The 14,727-nt window shown below is 54.9% G+C and overlaps 5 annotated features.

The window, feature by feature from the left end:
- Positions 7,298-7,527: a silencer, noted in NCBI's record as "silent region_4485". NCBI's record gives its function as "represses an Ori minimal core promoter by ATAC-STARR-seq in GM12878 lymphoblastoid cells {active_cell/tissue: GM12878}" and the evidence as "EXISTENCE:reporter gene assay evidence [ECO:0000049][PMID:35858748]".
- Positions 10,716-11,216: an enhancer, noted in NCBI's record as "H3K4me1 hESC enhancer chr12:53264319-53264819 (GRCh37/hg19 assembly coordinates)". NCBI's record gives its function as "activates a minimal SCP1, AML or CMV promoter by ChIP-STARR-seq in naive and primed H9 embryonic stem cells {active_cell/tissue: H9 hESC(naive and primed)}" and the evidence as "EXISTENCE:reporter gene assay evidence [ECO:0000049][PMID:30033119]".
- Positions 11,163-11,212: an enhancer, noted in NCBI's record as "active region_6399". NCBI's record gives its function as "activates an Ori minimal core promoter by ATAC-STARR-seq in GM12878 lymphoblastoid cells {active_cell/tissue: GM12878}" and the evidence as "EXISTENCE:reporter gene assay evidence [ECO:0000049][PMID:35858748]".
- Positions 11,217-11,717: an enhancer, noted in NCBI's record as "H3K4me1 hESC enhancer chr12:53263818-53264318 (GRCh37/hg19 assembly coordinates)". NCBI's record gives its function as "activates a minimal SCP1, AML or CMV promoter by ChIP-STARR-seq in primed H9 embryonic stem cells {active_cell/tissue: H9 hESC(primed)}" and the evidence as "EXISTENCE:reporter gene assay evidence [ECO:0000049][PMID:30033119]".
- Positions 11,323-11,402: a silencer, noted in NCBI's record as "silent region_4484". NCBI's record gives its function as "represses an Ori minimal core promoter by ATAC-STARR-seq in GM12878 lymphoblastoid cells {active_cell/tissue: GM12878}" and the evidence as "EXISTENCE:reporter gene assay evidence [ECO:0000049][PMID:35858748]".

Genomic DNA, 14,727 nt, shown 5'->3' with positions numbered 1-14,727 from the left:
ATCATAGCTCACTGCAGCCTCGACCTTCTGGGCTCAAGTGATCCTCCTGCATATGCCTCTGATTTTTAAATGTTGGCAACTAATTCAAATGTTTAGAAAAAACGGCCAGGGACGGGGTGGCTCACGTTTGTAACCCCAATACTGTCTACTAGTTTTCCTCTTCAATTTCCCCTCCTTTGAATGGTTCTCTTTTACTCAGTACAGGAAGCACATACATGTACCGTTCTCCAGGCTCAAGATGGAATCTCACAAAATCCAAACAAGGTAGGAGCAGAGGGCTGGCACGGTGGCTCGTCTGTAATTCCAGCACTTTGGGAGGCTGAGGCAGGCAGATCACCTGAGGTCAGGAATTTGAGACCAGCCTGGCCAACGTGGTGAAACCCTGTCTCTACCAAAAATACAAAAAATTAGCTGGGTGTGGTGTTGCACACCTGTAATCCCAGCTACCCAGCTTGAACCCAGGAGACAGAGGTTGCAGTGAGCTGAGATCGTGCCACTGCACTCTAGCCTGGGTGACAGAGCAAGACTCTGTCTCAAAAACAAAAAACAAACAAACAAACAAAAAACAAAAGAAAAAATGGCTGGGGGTGCAGTGGCTCATGCCTGTAATCCCAGCACTTTGAGAGGCAGAGGCAGGCAGATTGCGTGAGCTCAGGCATTTGAGACCAGCCTGGGCAACATGGCTAGACCCCATCTCCACCAAAGGAAAAAAAAATTGCTGGGGCCGGGCGCAGTGGCTCATGCCTGTAATCCTAGCACTTCGGGAGGCCGAGGCGGGCAGATCACTTGAGGTCAGGAGTTTGAGATTAGCTCGGCTGACATGGTGAAACCCTGTCTTTACCAGAAACACAAAAAATTAGCTGGGTGTGGTGGCACACACCTGTAATCCCAGATACTCAGGAGGCTGAGGCAGGAGAATCGCTTGAAGCTGGGAGGCAGAGGTTGCAGTAAGCCGAGATCACGCCATGGCACTCCAGCCTGGGTGACAGAGTGAGACCCTGAGACACACACACACACACACACACACACACGCCCGGGGGTGGTGGTGCATGCCTGTGGTCCCAGCTACTTGGGATCACTTGACTGGGGGCGGGGGTTGGGGGGGTATGCCAAAGTTTGCATTGAGCAGAGATCGTGCCAGTGCACTCCATTCTGGGTGACAGAGCTAGACCTTGGCTCGAAACAGACAAACAAAAAGCCAAAAAACAAAACAAAAAAAACAAACCCAAAACACACAAAACAAAACAAAACAACCTGTCCTGAACAAAATCAAACAAGCCACAGGAAACACAGCAGAGAGACCGAGGCCAGAGAGGCAAGGCTCGCCTTGATTCCTGCAGCATAAGAACCTGAGCCAGCACAGAGGGGATTGAGGTGCAGCTGATTAAAGGGGCAAAATCTCCAACACCAGCTTCTGCCTTCATTTCTAGACTTTGAGAATCCAGTATTGGCACTGGGGGACAGTGCTGTGCTGGGGACCCAAGGGACACAGAGAAGCGTGGGCAGCCGTAGATTATCCTCTTTCCCTGCAGCCTGCTGTCAGCCTGCTTGAACTTCTGAAGAATGGGCACCAAGACGGCTAGGATTGACCGAAGCGGGATGGATTTGTGCAAACCGGAGAGACATCAGACATCCACTAGGAGGCAGCAGAGGAGCAGGGAAAGAAACTGCTCTCCCGGCTTCTGGAAGCCGAGCCTGCACACCCTCCCACCCCCTCACTACATCCTCCCTATCCCAGGAGGCTGACTTGGGAGGTTGTTGGGTTGCAGGCCACCACTAACCGACAGGGGGGCTTTGTGCAAATCAGAGGAAGCTCCCATCCTCATGGGAAATGTAGGCTAGGGCATGACTTGGTGAGCGGAGCTTGGGGTGGATCAGTCCACGTCCTCCTATGCCCTGTGCCCTTGGCAACGCAGGGGCCATGGTGGGGGGTGGGTGGGGGGAGCTGAGGGCGGAGGGCACTGAGGAGCAGGGTGAGACAGGCGTGCTGCTGCTGGTGTGCCCTCCACTGCACTGTGTACTGGAGGTTTGAGTGCCGGCGCGAGGCAGCAGGGGCTCCCCGCAGAGGGCGCCACATTGCCCCGCGCTAGCTCTGCGCCGGCTCCGGCCTTTCCAGCAGGTGGCGGGTTCCACTCTCTGTCCTGGAGACTGCTGAGGCCCTCGCGGGAGGTCCACGCCTGCACGGGCCTGGGGGCAGAAGCGCGTGGGCAGGACCCAGGAGGACAGGCAAGCCGGCAGCAGACAGGCCCCAGGAGAAAGCAGCCGCCTGTGAGCCAGCGGCTCCGAGGTGCAGCACGCTGTCGTTTTGGAGGCTCAGAGAGGGGAGTTGGGCAGCATCGGGCAGAGCCAGGGTGAGAACTTCCGTGTCCTCACTCTCAGTTCAGTGCGCCTTCCTCCACAGCACTCCTTCCAGTTGATCCCAATCATGTCCCAGCCTGGCCCAAACCCTTCCTTGGAGACACACAAGCCCCTGAGCTTGGCACTCCAGGCCCGCCTGACCCCGCTGAAGTCACCTCTGCCGTGGCCTTCCACTCAGGCAGCTGAATCCCCTGGGGGTTCCCTGAGGAAGTCGCACCCCCTCACACCCTTAGCCCCTGTGCCTGCTGTCCCCCTGTCTGCAATGCACCTCCTATGGCTGACCCATCCACTTGTGAGCCTTTCATCTTCCCAATTTAGTTAGGATTTCCTCCTCTGGAAGCCGTCCCTGCCCCTCCGAGGCTGGGCTCCCCCTACCCTGTGCTACCCCACAGGGCCCTTCTCACCACACCACAGCCTCCCCAGCAGACGGTGAGCTTGGCCAGGGCCCAGTCTGACTGGAATGCTTCTGTATCCCCGTGCCTGGCACAGAGCAGATGGTTGTAAATATCTGCTGTTAAATGAAAGAAAGGCCTTACTACATTCCCTCCCCACCCTCTGCAGCGGCAGCCTTGCCATCATGGAGGGAAGACACGCAGGCAGGGGGCTGTGGGTGTGTGCATGCGTGTGCGCGTGTGTGTACTGTCAGGTGCACATATGGAGGGCCTCAGGCACCAGAGACAAGGAATAATTCCTATGGGAGATTGTATGTGCATAGGCGCAGACAGGTACAGACAGGCACAGACAGACATGTGCACACCAACCCAGAAAGATGTGGAGCTTCATACACACGGGGAGATTTATTTAAAACAAAAACAATTTTCATGGAAGTGTAACATACATAGAGAGAAGTACTCAAGTCATAAGTCTACAGTGTGATGAAGTTTCACAAACTGAACAGATCATGCTACCAGCACTCATGTCAGGAAGCAGAGCAGAGTCAGCCCCCAGAAGTCCCAGTGAGAGCTGCATTTTTTTTTTTTTCCAGACAGGGTCTCGTTCTGTTGTCCAGGCTGGAGTGCAGTGGTGTGACCAAGGCTCACTGCAGCTGCAGCTTCAACTTCCCAAGCTCAAGTGATCCTCCCACTTCAGCCTCCTGAGTAGCTGGGACCACAGATGTGTGCCACCCTGCCTGGCTAATTTTTATTTATTTTTTGTACAGACAAGTTCTGACCACGTCGCCCAGGCTAGTGGGAGCATTTTGAACACCTGCTGCCTGACTCCTAAGCTGAAAGGCGGAGGGGGAAGGGCACAGGGAGGAGAGTCTGGCGCCCTCCAAGGGCCTGGCCTGCCCTGAGTTGCTCTAGGGGTGTTACTGCTTTTTAACCTCAGGCCCTATCTCTGATGACTTTCCTGCCACCGTCATTGCCCCTACTACTCCAGCACCTGGGTCTGCCGGGCCCTTGAACAGCTCCCTCCTGGGTCTGCCCGGCCCTTGCACAGCTCCCTCCTGGGCCAGCAGGCTCAAGGGTTTATGTGTCCTCTTCCCAGGTCCACCTCAGGTGCCATAGGGCTTCTACGGTTTTGAGCTCTTACCAGCCATTGGCTTATTTCTGCTTTCTTCCCCATGCCTGAGGGGCTGGTCTGTGAGAGGGCATGGCTTTGGCAGTGACATTTTGCAGCTCCTTGCCCCAGCCAGGCTTATCATGGCTCTTGGGTAGGGGCAGCAGGGATAAAACGAAGGCTACTCCGATGTCCTGGAACTGCAAAGCCAATGGGTGGGCAGTGTGCAAAGACCTGTCCCCCAGAGCCAGCTATCCCAGTGCAGAGCTGGCATGACTGTGTTTGGGACAATGACAAGAGCCTCCTGACACTGTGCAAGTCTGTGTGTTGAGACATGCATAGAGACGCTGTGTCCAGCTGTGCATATTTTATGGGGACTATGCATGAAACTATGTGTGAGATGGGGGTTTGGGACACCGTGTGGTGTGCTGGGAGTATATATGATTGAGTTGCACGTGCAGGGCTGTGTGCTGTGGGCCTGTGACAGGGAGTGCTGGTTAGGTATCTGTTCCAGTGGTGGTGTGTGTGCTTGAAAGCCTGTGTGTGTGTGTGTGTGTGTCTGTGTGTGTGTGTAGATGTGTTTGTTGGTTAGGGGCAGTGTGGACAGAATACCTTGTTTACAGTGGAACTGTAGTTCTAGATGTGTTTGCTGACTGCAACCAGGAAGTTACCTGTGGGGACCCAATGTTGGTGAGGAGGGGTCCACCTAAAAAGGAGAAGGGCTGGGTGCGATGGCTCATGCCTATGATCCCAATACTTTGAGAGATGGGAGAATTGCTTGAGGCCAGGAGTTTGAGATCAGCCTGGGCAACACAGTGAGACCCTGTCTCTGTGAAAAATTAAAAATTAAAAAATTAGTCGGGCATGATGGCATGTGCCTATAGTCCTAGCTTACTTGAGAGGCTAAGGCAGGAGGATTGCTGCAGCTCAGGAGTTCAGGGCTGCAGGCAGCTATCGCACAACTGCACTTCAGCCTGGTCAACAGAGTGAGACCCTGTCTCAGAATAGGTAAATAATAAATAAAATAAAAATGAAAAAGAAGGCACAGGGTTGGAGGTGAGAGGCTCTGAGCCAGGCTGCCCCTTCCTCGTGGGGTCTTAACTGCCTGGTCCCTTTCCTCACCTCCAGCTGTGGGGATCAAGCACCCTGCCTACCCACTCACCTGCAGAAATGGGCTAGGTGCGGCCTAGGCTGAGGCCCAGATGCTGAGATGGCAGGCCTAAGGAGGAGGGGGTGGGGCAGCGACGTGCCCGAGCAGTGGGCAGCTTGCCCTGTGCTGAGCTGGGTTGGCAGCTGGTGCTGGGAGCAGGCGGGGCCCCACTCAAGCAGGCTGGGGCAGGTTGGGCAGGGCCTGTCTCAGGCATGGAGGAGATGGAGCTGATGGAGCAAGCCCAGGCCTTGTTTGTGCCAAGATGGAAGGTTGAGGGGCAGTGGTGCGTGCTGTGGGAGGAAGGTGTGTCATGCTCATGGTCTGTGCACACATATCCCCATCGTGAGTGCATTTAACTCATGTGTGCATTTGATTTGCGTGTGCATTTGATTTGTGTGTGCATTTGTATTCCTCCTTCCTACGTTGTGTACATGGATCCATGGGTCTGTGTGAGTGCATGGGTGGTTGTGTGTTTGTGTGACTGGCACTGGATGTGCTTGTGTGAGAGTCTTGCATGGATATATGTTTGTGGGATGGTTGTGCGCCCGAGTGACTGTTGTGTGTACATGCTTGTTGGAAAGGCCTATGTGGCTTTTGCATATTATGTTTGGGGAACACATCTGTTGTGAGTTTGTGTTCACATAGGTGTTTTCTCAAAGGCATGTGTGTGTGCATGCCTGTTCCTCTGTGTGTACATCAGTAGTCCGGGTCTTAGGCCCAGAGGGCAGAGGGGCACTGGTGGGCTGTCCATTGTGAGTGCCTGTGGGGAGCAGAGGAAGAGGTCTAGGTTTTCTGGGTCGGGGCTTGAGTGGGTTTGGTCAGGCCCCTGAGCTGGTTTGTTCCTACAACAGCTTCAAACGTTCTTCTCACTCCCTCATCATCCTCTTTTTGGTGGTTCTGACTGTGTGTGTGTGTGTGTGTGTGTGTGTGTGTGTGTGTGTGTGAGTAATGACCTGCACACCATTGTGAATCTGTGTGTAATGACTCCACTGATTCCTTCATGTCTGTTGGTAACAGCTCTATATATCAGGTGTGCACCACATGAAACATGCACGTGTGTGTGTCTGGGCATCTTTGCAATGACCCCCACAGCTGGATCTGTGCACTGTGTCCAGCAGCCATTGTGCATGTGTATGTGAGTGTGTGTGTGTGTCCTACAAAGTGTGCGTGGGTCGAGCTGCAGGGTCCTCTTCCCCAGCCCCGGGATCTGGCATATCCTGTTGCCTACTCCAAACCCCACATGTACTGACTCTTGGCTTCTTTCTCCTTCCCACCCCAGTCCCTCTCACAGTCCTGGGGGATCCTCTCTTGGTATGGGAAAGCCTGGATGAAGTTGAAGGCTGGTCTCCCTGTGGAGGTGGTGGAGTTTCCCCCAGGTTTGCTGTGGGGCCAGGTGGAGGCCACTCCTGGCTAAGGCGCTCAGGGAACAGCCACAGCCGTGGAAAGAGCATACACTTTAGAGCCAGAGAGTCCTGGGTTCAAATCCAGATTTGCTCATATACTGTGCCAGTGTGACCTTGAGCCACCACGTAGGCCTCAGTTTCTCCCCGGTAAAATGGGGATTATGTTTGTTTTTGGAGTTGCTGTGAGAAGCATCGATAAGGTGAACACGAAGCTCCTAGCATGGCACACATGGCCCACAGTAGTCTCTGGACAATTGTGGGTCCTTTTCCCTTTTTGAGGGATCACTTGGTTTAAGATCACTTTTGAGATCTTGCTTTAAAATCACTTTGAGATATTTCAGGCACTGCTGTAGGGATTGAGCCTGGCCTGCAGGGTAGCATCTGGCCCCAGACCTTCAGGGGCCCTGGCACTGTGGAGGGGGCAGAGCCAGAGCTGGAGAATTACTCAGAGCTAACCCCTGAGGGGCCTGTCCTGGCCGCTGTGAGACAGAGGCACAGAGCTGCTAAGCTCTTCCCCACTTCTGGGGAAGTGGGGTGTAGGGGGGCACAGAGATGATCTGGAGTGGTGGAGGTCAGTGATGCTCCAAAGAGACCAACAGGCAGATTCCAAAAGACCACAGTCCATCGGCCACACTCATAAAGATCTTAAGACACAGAGACACCCCCAGAAAGACAGGCACACAACCTCCCGTTGTGGGGACAGAAGGCCCCACCGCCCATGGACAGACACACAGTCTCCCAGAAGAACAGATACCAGATTCTCCTCCCTAGAGCGGGACAAATTCTCCCACAGGGACAGAAACGCATTCTCCCCACAACACTCTCCTCTGCCCCGGGGGAGGACGCGAAGGGGGCGGAAGGCAGGCCAGGCTCCCCCTGCTGAGTCAGGCTCTCCCGGCTTAGCGGGCGGGTCTGGGGTGGGAAGAGGCCGGGCGCCCGTCCAGCTCCAGAGGTGGGGTGCTGGATGAGTCACCGCGGAGCGGGCGCGGCCGGCGCCGCCCTGGGGCCCCCGGCCGCCGTGGGAGCGCTCGGGCCCAGCCAATCGGCGGCCGCCACCCGGCTCTAGCGCTCTGCCCCGCCCCGCCGCGCCCCGCGGGCTTCCAGGTTCCCAGGGCCTCTAGCCGCCCCGAGAGACCCCTGACGCGGCACCCAGCCAGACTCCATGGTCTCTACTTCTGGAGAGAGGCTGTCGGTGACGGAGCACAGGGCTCTCAGGGGAACCGAGCGGAGACGTCTCAGCTCCTCTTCGAGGGGCCACTCCCCGCCACTCCCACCTGTGGATTAGGGGCACGGGTGGCTCTGCGGGGGGTGGGAGGCAGCCTCGCTCTTCTTCCTTCTTACCCCCCTCTGAGCTCTTCCCGGAATGTCTCTGCGGGGCACTCAGCTCCTCCTTGAAGGAGACAGGCTGCCTTGTTTGCCAGGCTCAGGGGCACAGGGGCATTTCCTGCTACGGTCTTGACGGCAGAAGTTCTCTGTCCACAGTCAGCAACACCACACGCTGTCATCTGCTTCAGAAATTGTTCTAGGGACAATACAGTCAGAAAATATGCTCAGAGGGCCACTGTCCCTAAGACCTTGGTGATGCCAGCTGCTGGCAGGTGCACCTGACTTGCACCTGGGCCACAAAACACACACACACACCCCACACACATGCACAGGTTTAGACGGTGCAGACACACACACAGACAGATGTTACACGATTCTCATATATAGCTCTTTATTTTCGGGCACACAGAGAGACACATTCAGCAGTAGAGGGAAGTCTCCTGGTTCTGCCTCTTACTGGTGATCTGACTTTGGGTCAATTATCGGATCTCTCCAACCTTATGGCCCTATCTGTAAAATGGGGATAGCTAGAATATCTTCCTTAAAGGATTGTCCGAGGATTAAAGGAAACAACACCTGGAGAGTACATTGAAATAATAAATGGTAGCTATGATGATCTCCCCCACAGATATATCCACACACAGAGGCATGGACACATGCAGATTTACACACACACAAAACCTCAGACATCAATACATGTATAGGAGCAGGCACATATCAACACAGGTGTATTTGCACAAAGATACAAAGACACAAACAGAACCCCCTGCCCCCACCACCAAGGAAAACAACCCCCGCAACAACCATAAAAGCAAGTTTTACTGCCCAGGGTGTGATGGGAGCAGGCAGCCCAGCTGGGTTGGGGGTGGAGGCCTCCGCGTCGGGCGGTGCCTGCCCTGCTCAGGTTCCCACTCAGCCCCAGGGACAGGACGCCTTCATTCTTCCAACACGCCACTCTCTGTCCCCAAGAGCAGTCACCCCATCCTTTCTCCACTGTCACCTGAAATCAGGCCCTACCCTCTCCCAACAGCATGAGCTCCAGGGTGGGGGCCCCCAGGGTGGTTGTGGTTGGTGGGAGGGCACAATGGTCTGGTTCTCCAGGGACGGTTTGGCGGTCAGCAGGGGCGGTGGTCCTCTGGGTTGGTGGATTCCGGTTTTGGGGATTTGGCTGCTTGGCCTGGGAAGTAGCCCGAGGGGGACCGCCAGCCCCTGGGAATGGCCCTCTGGGCCCTGGACAGTTTTAGGCAGCTCTGCTCTACTTTGCCTTGTGCAGCTCCCCAGCTCTTGCCTGAACTCCTTCCTGGAGCTGGGGGCATTTGGAAATGGTGCTCTAGAGCCAGGGAGAGCTAGAAGGCATCCCTGCTCCTGACCCTGGCAGTAAGAATCCTTTCCTGTTCAATCACGGCCATACCAGCCTGGTCTTCCAAGTAGTGTTTTCCCATTGCCCTGGTGTTTCCCCCGACAATGAACCCTCGGTTACTAGCTAATCCTAGTATCAGAGACTGCAAGGGACCCCCAAGGCTACTGGGTCTACATTCGAGGTAGAAAATTTCACATCTGAGGTCACACAGTGATTCTGTAGCAGCAGCAGTGGGATTGAACCTGGGGCTCCTGTCTCCCCATCCAGAGAAGCCCTGAGTCTCAGGGCTCCCACCACCTCCCCCACTGCCCATTTTCACAGGGAGCAGGTTTGTGCCCCTCCCGTGGACTATATGGTCCTAAGGGCTTTTGTTGAAGACCAGAGCAAGGAGATGCTTGGGCCCTGGCCTCTGGGACTCCCAGCCTGATAGGGGAAGAGAGTGTCAGATCCAGGCAACAGTGGAGCAACTGAACACACCAGGCCAGGAGGCTGGCACAGATTCTGGGAGGTTTATCAGGCAGTTGCCTGCAGAAAAGTTTTGAGGGAGAGGAGGGGCATGGACAGTCCTCTGGACTGTGGGGCGAGGGGTCTTGAGGGAAGGTGCCTGAGGCTTGCTCTGTCCCCTTCATAGAGTAAACTTGCTGCTTCCAGTTCCGGGGACTAGATTCTGGGGGTTGGCCATAAGATATCAGGTGACTCTTTGCTTAGAATGTTGAGTACAACTGAAATGGCCCAAATGCTTCACCCAGGCCTGGACCTGATGTAATGTCCTGTAGTATGACCTCCAGGGCTGACCCTGGCCAAGCTCAGGGGCTGGTCTCCTCGGGGGAGCTGGGGAAAGCGGTGATTTCTCTGATGCCTTGCCAACCTCCATTCTCTTGCTCTGAACCAACTCAGTCCAAGCTTCCCAGGGGCCAACTGACTCTCAGATGTGACCACGTCCTTCCTGAGGGTCCTCCAGAAGACTGAGAAGCCTTCTCAAATGCCCAGGCTTTCAACAACCCCCTTCCTGACTCTCAGATTTCGTGCCCCTACTCTCGCCCCCAGGGCCTGGATGAGTCAGAATGATGGGGCTCCCAGTTGGCAAGACTCAATTTTGCTGGCTGGGAGTTTTTTCAGGGTGCTAATTAAAAGGAGCCACCCAGAGAGAATGACTTCACTTGTTCACACACACACCCTTCTGCCCTGCCCTCCCTTCTGCCCCCATTCACACGCTGAGCCAAGGCAGGGGCGGTGGGTGGAGGGAACCCAATGGCAAAAGTGTGAGCATCTGTGTATGTCAACAAGCAAACTGCAGGCTCAGAGCATTTTTGACATTTTTTTTCCCCTTAGTCAAATGTTGCAGTCGCTGCATTTCCTCTGCTGTTTCCCTCCCGGCTGAACTGGACAGGCAGAACTGCCTCTGGGTGGGAAGGGAACTAGGTGTCTCCCAGTGGGCCCCAAGTAACGCCACTATGGTGGGGATTCCCTCCCTGGCCTGACCTCAATCCCGCCAGCTGCAGTCTATTCCCACCGATGTTGTCCTCTGTGGATGGGACCCCAGCTGGAGAAACCTTGGTGGGTCCACCTTCAGTACAGGCTATGTGAGGTTCTCTCCAGTCCCTCACAATCCTCTCTGTTCCCTAAATTCTTCCCCAGTTAAAATCACAATCCCTTCCAGTGCTGGGTGGCAGGATGGGGCTGTGGCACCCAGGGTAGGCACTGGTGCAGGTCCAGTGGTATCTGGATGGTGTTGCTGATGGCCTGGAGCCCCCAGATATTCCTGCTTTGATGCTTGGTACAACCCACATTGACCCCCTTTGTTTTAGCTAATTGGGGCAGCTGTGAGTTTCTGGATTCTATCTGGCCCAGGTCGGTGGACTGCCTTCAGACTCCAGGGTGCCAGGGAGCATAGGGCGTGTTGGAGGTAAAAGGGCCAGGCTGGTGCCGCCCTGGGAGCTGGGGGGAGCCCGAGCTCACCTCTCCGCCTCCTCCCTCCATTCTAGGATTGCCCTGCAGGGGTCGCCCTAAGCCAGGCTTCCAGGCGGCCAAAGCACCCACCCTTTTCAGACTCCGGGTCCTCCCTCAGGCTCCTTGACCCCCAGACTCGGGGTTCTCTTCTCTCTGTGGGGTCCCCTCAGCCCTTGGGAATCCAGGAAGTGACATGAGGAAGGGACAGAGACAATGTGTGACCCAGAGGCTCTGAAGCGACAGGAGTGACAAGTGTCAGAGCACATGCAAATGACATGCAAATGAGCCTGGCCAGTGCCAGAGGGTGTCTGGGCCCAGGCACTGTCTCCAGCAGCCCTGCAATTGTCTGCCTCTTCTCTACCTGTCTGTGTGCGTTAGGGTCCGTTTCTCTGCCCCTCCCCACAAGTAACCAACTGCGCCAGGCATGTGCTAAGTACTTGGAAACCTCAATTGTCACTATAACCCATGGCAGGGACCATTATCCTCATTTTTTCATATGGTTTCTGTATGGCTCCCATGGGGTTGGATTAGTGTTTCCCAGTCTTCCTGCCCCCTACAAATTAATAGGTGTTTAGTGAGTCTGAAAATAATGTAACGGGGGCCCCACCCCCACCACCTAGAGAGCAGAGTTCCTCTGAGAGGTCCCAGAGAATGGGGACTCTGGGCTGTGGTTTGGCACAAAAAGACTGGGGCAGAGGGTCAAATGTGGGAGGGGGATCTAGAGAAGACATTTTGACTATTTCCCAGCTTCCATGGGGCCACCTATCCCTGCCTGACCAGGGTCCCTGGACCTAGTCCTTCTGTATATTGACTTTGTCCTTTCAGAGATGGCTGTAGTCACCTAACTTCAGTCCCCTTTGTGGCAGCACCAGCCTATTACCCTGTGGTGGGTCAGGCTTGCCAAGAAACTTTTAAAGGGGGTTTGATGTAGTTCTGTGCCTCCCTCTTGCAAAAGGCCTTCATGAGGCCTGGGGGCTTCAAGTGACACTTTTCCCCTCTCCTTTCCGGAATAGAGCTCCAGAGACCTGGAAGGGGCTGTGGGGAACTGACGCCCTGCTCCTCCTTGCATTTGACACTGCTTCTTCCTGGCACTTAGCAGGGCCTGGGGAAGCTGGGATGGGGCTGGGGGTGGTGGCCTTAGGTGAGGTTTGCTCTGTCTCCTCCTCAAAGTGATGTGCTCCAGCCCCAGCTGGCACTTTCATTCCAGTTTCCTCCTCGCACATTCTTCATTTCCCCTCCCCTGCTGTCTCTGCTGCTTTCCGCACCTTCCCTGCTCCCTGCCCATCTCCTGTCTCCTGAATCTCCAGCCAGGTGCCCCTCTTCTCTGTTCCCCCTCTGGGAACCTTCTTGGCTGGTCACTCTGGAGTCCCACTGAGTTTCTCTTCCCTGGAGACCCTTGGGGCTTGAGCACTCCTCTCTGTGGCTGGGAATGAGGTGGCTCCAGGAATGAAACCCTGGCACGTTCCAGAGTTTGGAGGCTCTTGGTTGCTCAGGAAGCTCCCAGCATGTACACTCCTTGGGGTCTGAGGCCCCTGGCCCACCACTGGCTTTGAGGCAAATGGCCCAGGCCTCCCTGGGGCAGTGACAGCACAGGGAAGTAGGCACTTGGGCTCAGCCACAGGCCTCCTTTCCACCATCTCTGCACCCTATTCCCTCCCACACTGCATGCAACCATGCGCCTGCCCTCTCAATCAGGTGGCACAGAGGCCTGGCCCCCCTCCTCATCCCTTCTTTCACTTAACAATCTCTCTCCCTTTCTTCCCGAGGCCCCTTACACTCCCCTTCACTGGAGCCTTCACCAGCTGCCCAGCCCATGGCTCTGCTAGTTGCCCCATCTGGCCTGAGTGCATTCTCTCTTTGGATTCCTCCATCCCCTCTGGTGGAGGGGTGGCTATTCCAGCTGGAGAACAGACAGATGCAGGCATAGACCTGAGAAATGCTTTACAGATAGTCCTGGGTTCAGATTCTCACTCTGCCACTATTGGTTGTGTGATCTAGGACAACCAAGCCTCAGTTTCCCCATCTATAATATGCGATTAATCAGAGGTATGCTATGTAAAGCACCTGGCATGTAGTAGTTGAACATTAAGTGATAATTCTACTTCTTTTTTTTTTTTTTTTTTTTTTGAGACAGGGTCTCCCTCAGTCTCCCAGGCTGAGTGCAGTGCAGTGGTGCGATCATGGCTTACTGCAGCCTCAAACACTTGGGTTCAAGTGATCCTCCTGCCTCAGCCTTCCAAGTAGCTAGGACTATAGGCATGAGTCACTACATCCAGCAAATTTCCTTTTTTTTTTTTTTTTGTAGAGACGTGGGGGTCTCACTTTGTTGCCCAGGCTGGTCTTGAATGCCTGGGCTCAAGTAGATTCACCTGCCCTGGTCTCCCAAAGTGCTGGGATTACTGGCGTAAGCCACTGCACCTGGCCTAATTATTCTTGATACATATAATACTACTGACAACTGAGACAACTTCCTGGAAGAATGGTCTTCTTTGGGACCCTTGAATGAAAGGAAGGGACATTCTTGACATTCAAACCCTGCCTCTAAGTGACCCTTTCCTCCTGAGATGCCCTCCCCACCCAGCCCTCTTTCCTGATTTTGTCTTCTTGAAGAGATGCGGGGTGGGGTGGAGTGCCTGCCTCCCGGGAAGGGGGTTGGTTGTGTGTTCTGAAGCTGCCACCCCCTACCCCCCACCTCTCAGTTCCCCCTGGCAGGGAGTGGCCTGCTTGCCCTAGGGTAGTGCCTGCCTGGGCAGGTAGCAAAGTGCTCCCAAAGCCTGGAGAGGGGCTTAAACTTCTGTTGGTGGTTGGGAGCTGCCCTGGGCACCCTGAGTGGCTGGGGAGAGCACGTGGGCCCAAGCGGGGAGGGAGAAATGGGGGGCGTGGCGTGCGTTCTGCTGGCATAGAGCATTCCCTGGCAGGGGTGGGGGTGCAGGGCGGGGGTGGCTGGTGCTGGTTTCCTTCCTTAGTTTCGATCAGAGGGGCGGGTTTAAGGCTGAGCTTGGTTGAGCTAGCAGCTCTTCTTCAGGAAATCTGAAAGCTTTGAAAGAGAAAAATATCGTTTGTTCCAGAGTCAGGAACACTGTTCTCTCAGCCTGGGGTACTTTTGTCTCTGTTGAAGCCCCCTTACCAAGAGATATGTGTTTGGGGTGGAGGTGGGGAAGGTGAACATTCACACACAACCTTCACACACCCGCACCTGCACATTTATAACACACCCCCATACACACATGCCTAGCTTCTGTCTTTCTCACACATACCCTTGCACACTGATGCATGCAAGCATCCACTATACCCATCCCAGAAGGTACACATTCCCACCCCACCCTTCCACATACACCGATGCCTGGCGCACTCACACATAACTGTGTCACTTTCATAGCCCCTGTGATTTTACTGGCCCGCACATGCCCCTGCATGATCATAGATGATCTCTGCACCTTCGCACTCATGCTCCCCCCCCATTTATTTACACACATCTTACAAGCTCCCTGTATACCCTTGTCCCTACACATTTTCTTTCTTTCTCTCTGTCTCTTCCCCTCTCATCTCAGGGAGCCAGAAGGGATGGTTGTCCTCAGATGACAGTGAGAGCAAGAGGAGATCCAGGCAAGTCAGCATCTAGTAGGCCAAGCCTGGTGGGGAGTGGGGCTCAGAAGATAGTAATGATAATAATGATAATA

Source organism: Homo sapiens, chromosome 12 (assembly GCF_000001405.40).
Source record: "Homo sapiens chromosome 12, GRCh38.p14 Primary Assembly".
In the NCBI taxonomy this organism is placed as follows: domain Eukaryota; kingdom Metazoa; phylum Chordata; class Mammalia; order Primates; family Hominidae; genus Homo; species Homo sapiens.
This window is presented reverse-complemented; position numbering and strand designations above follow the sequence as displayed.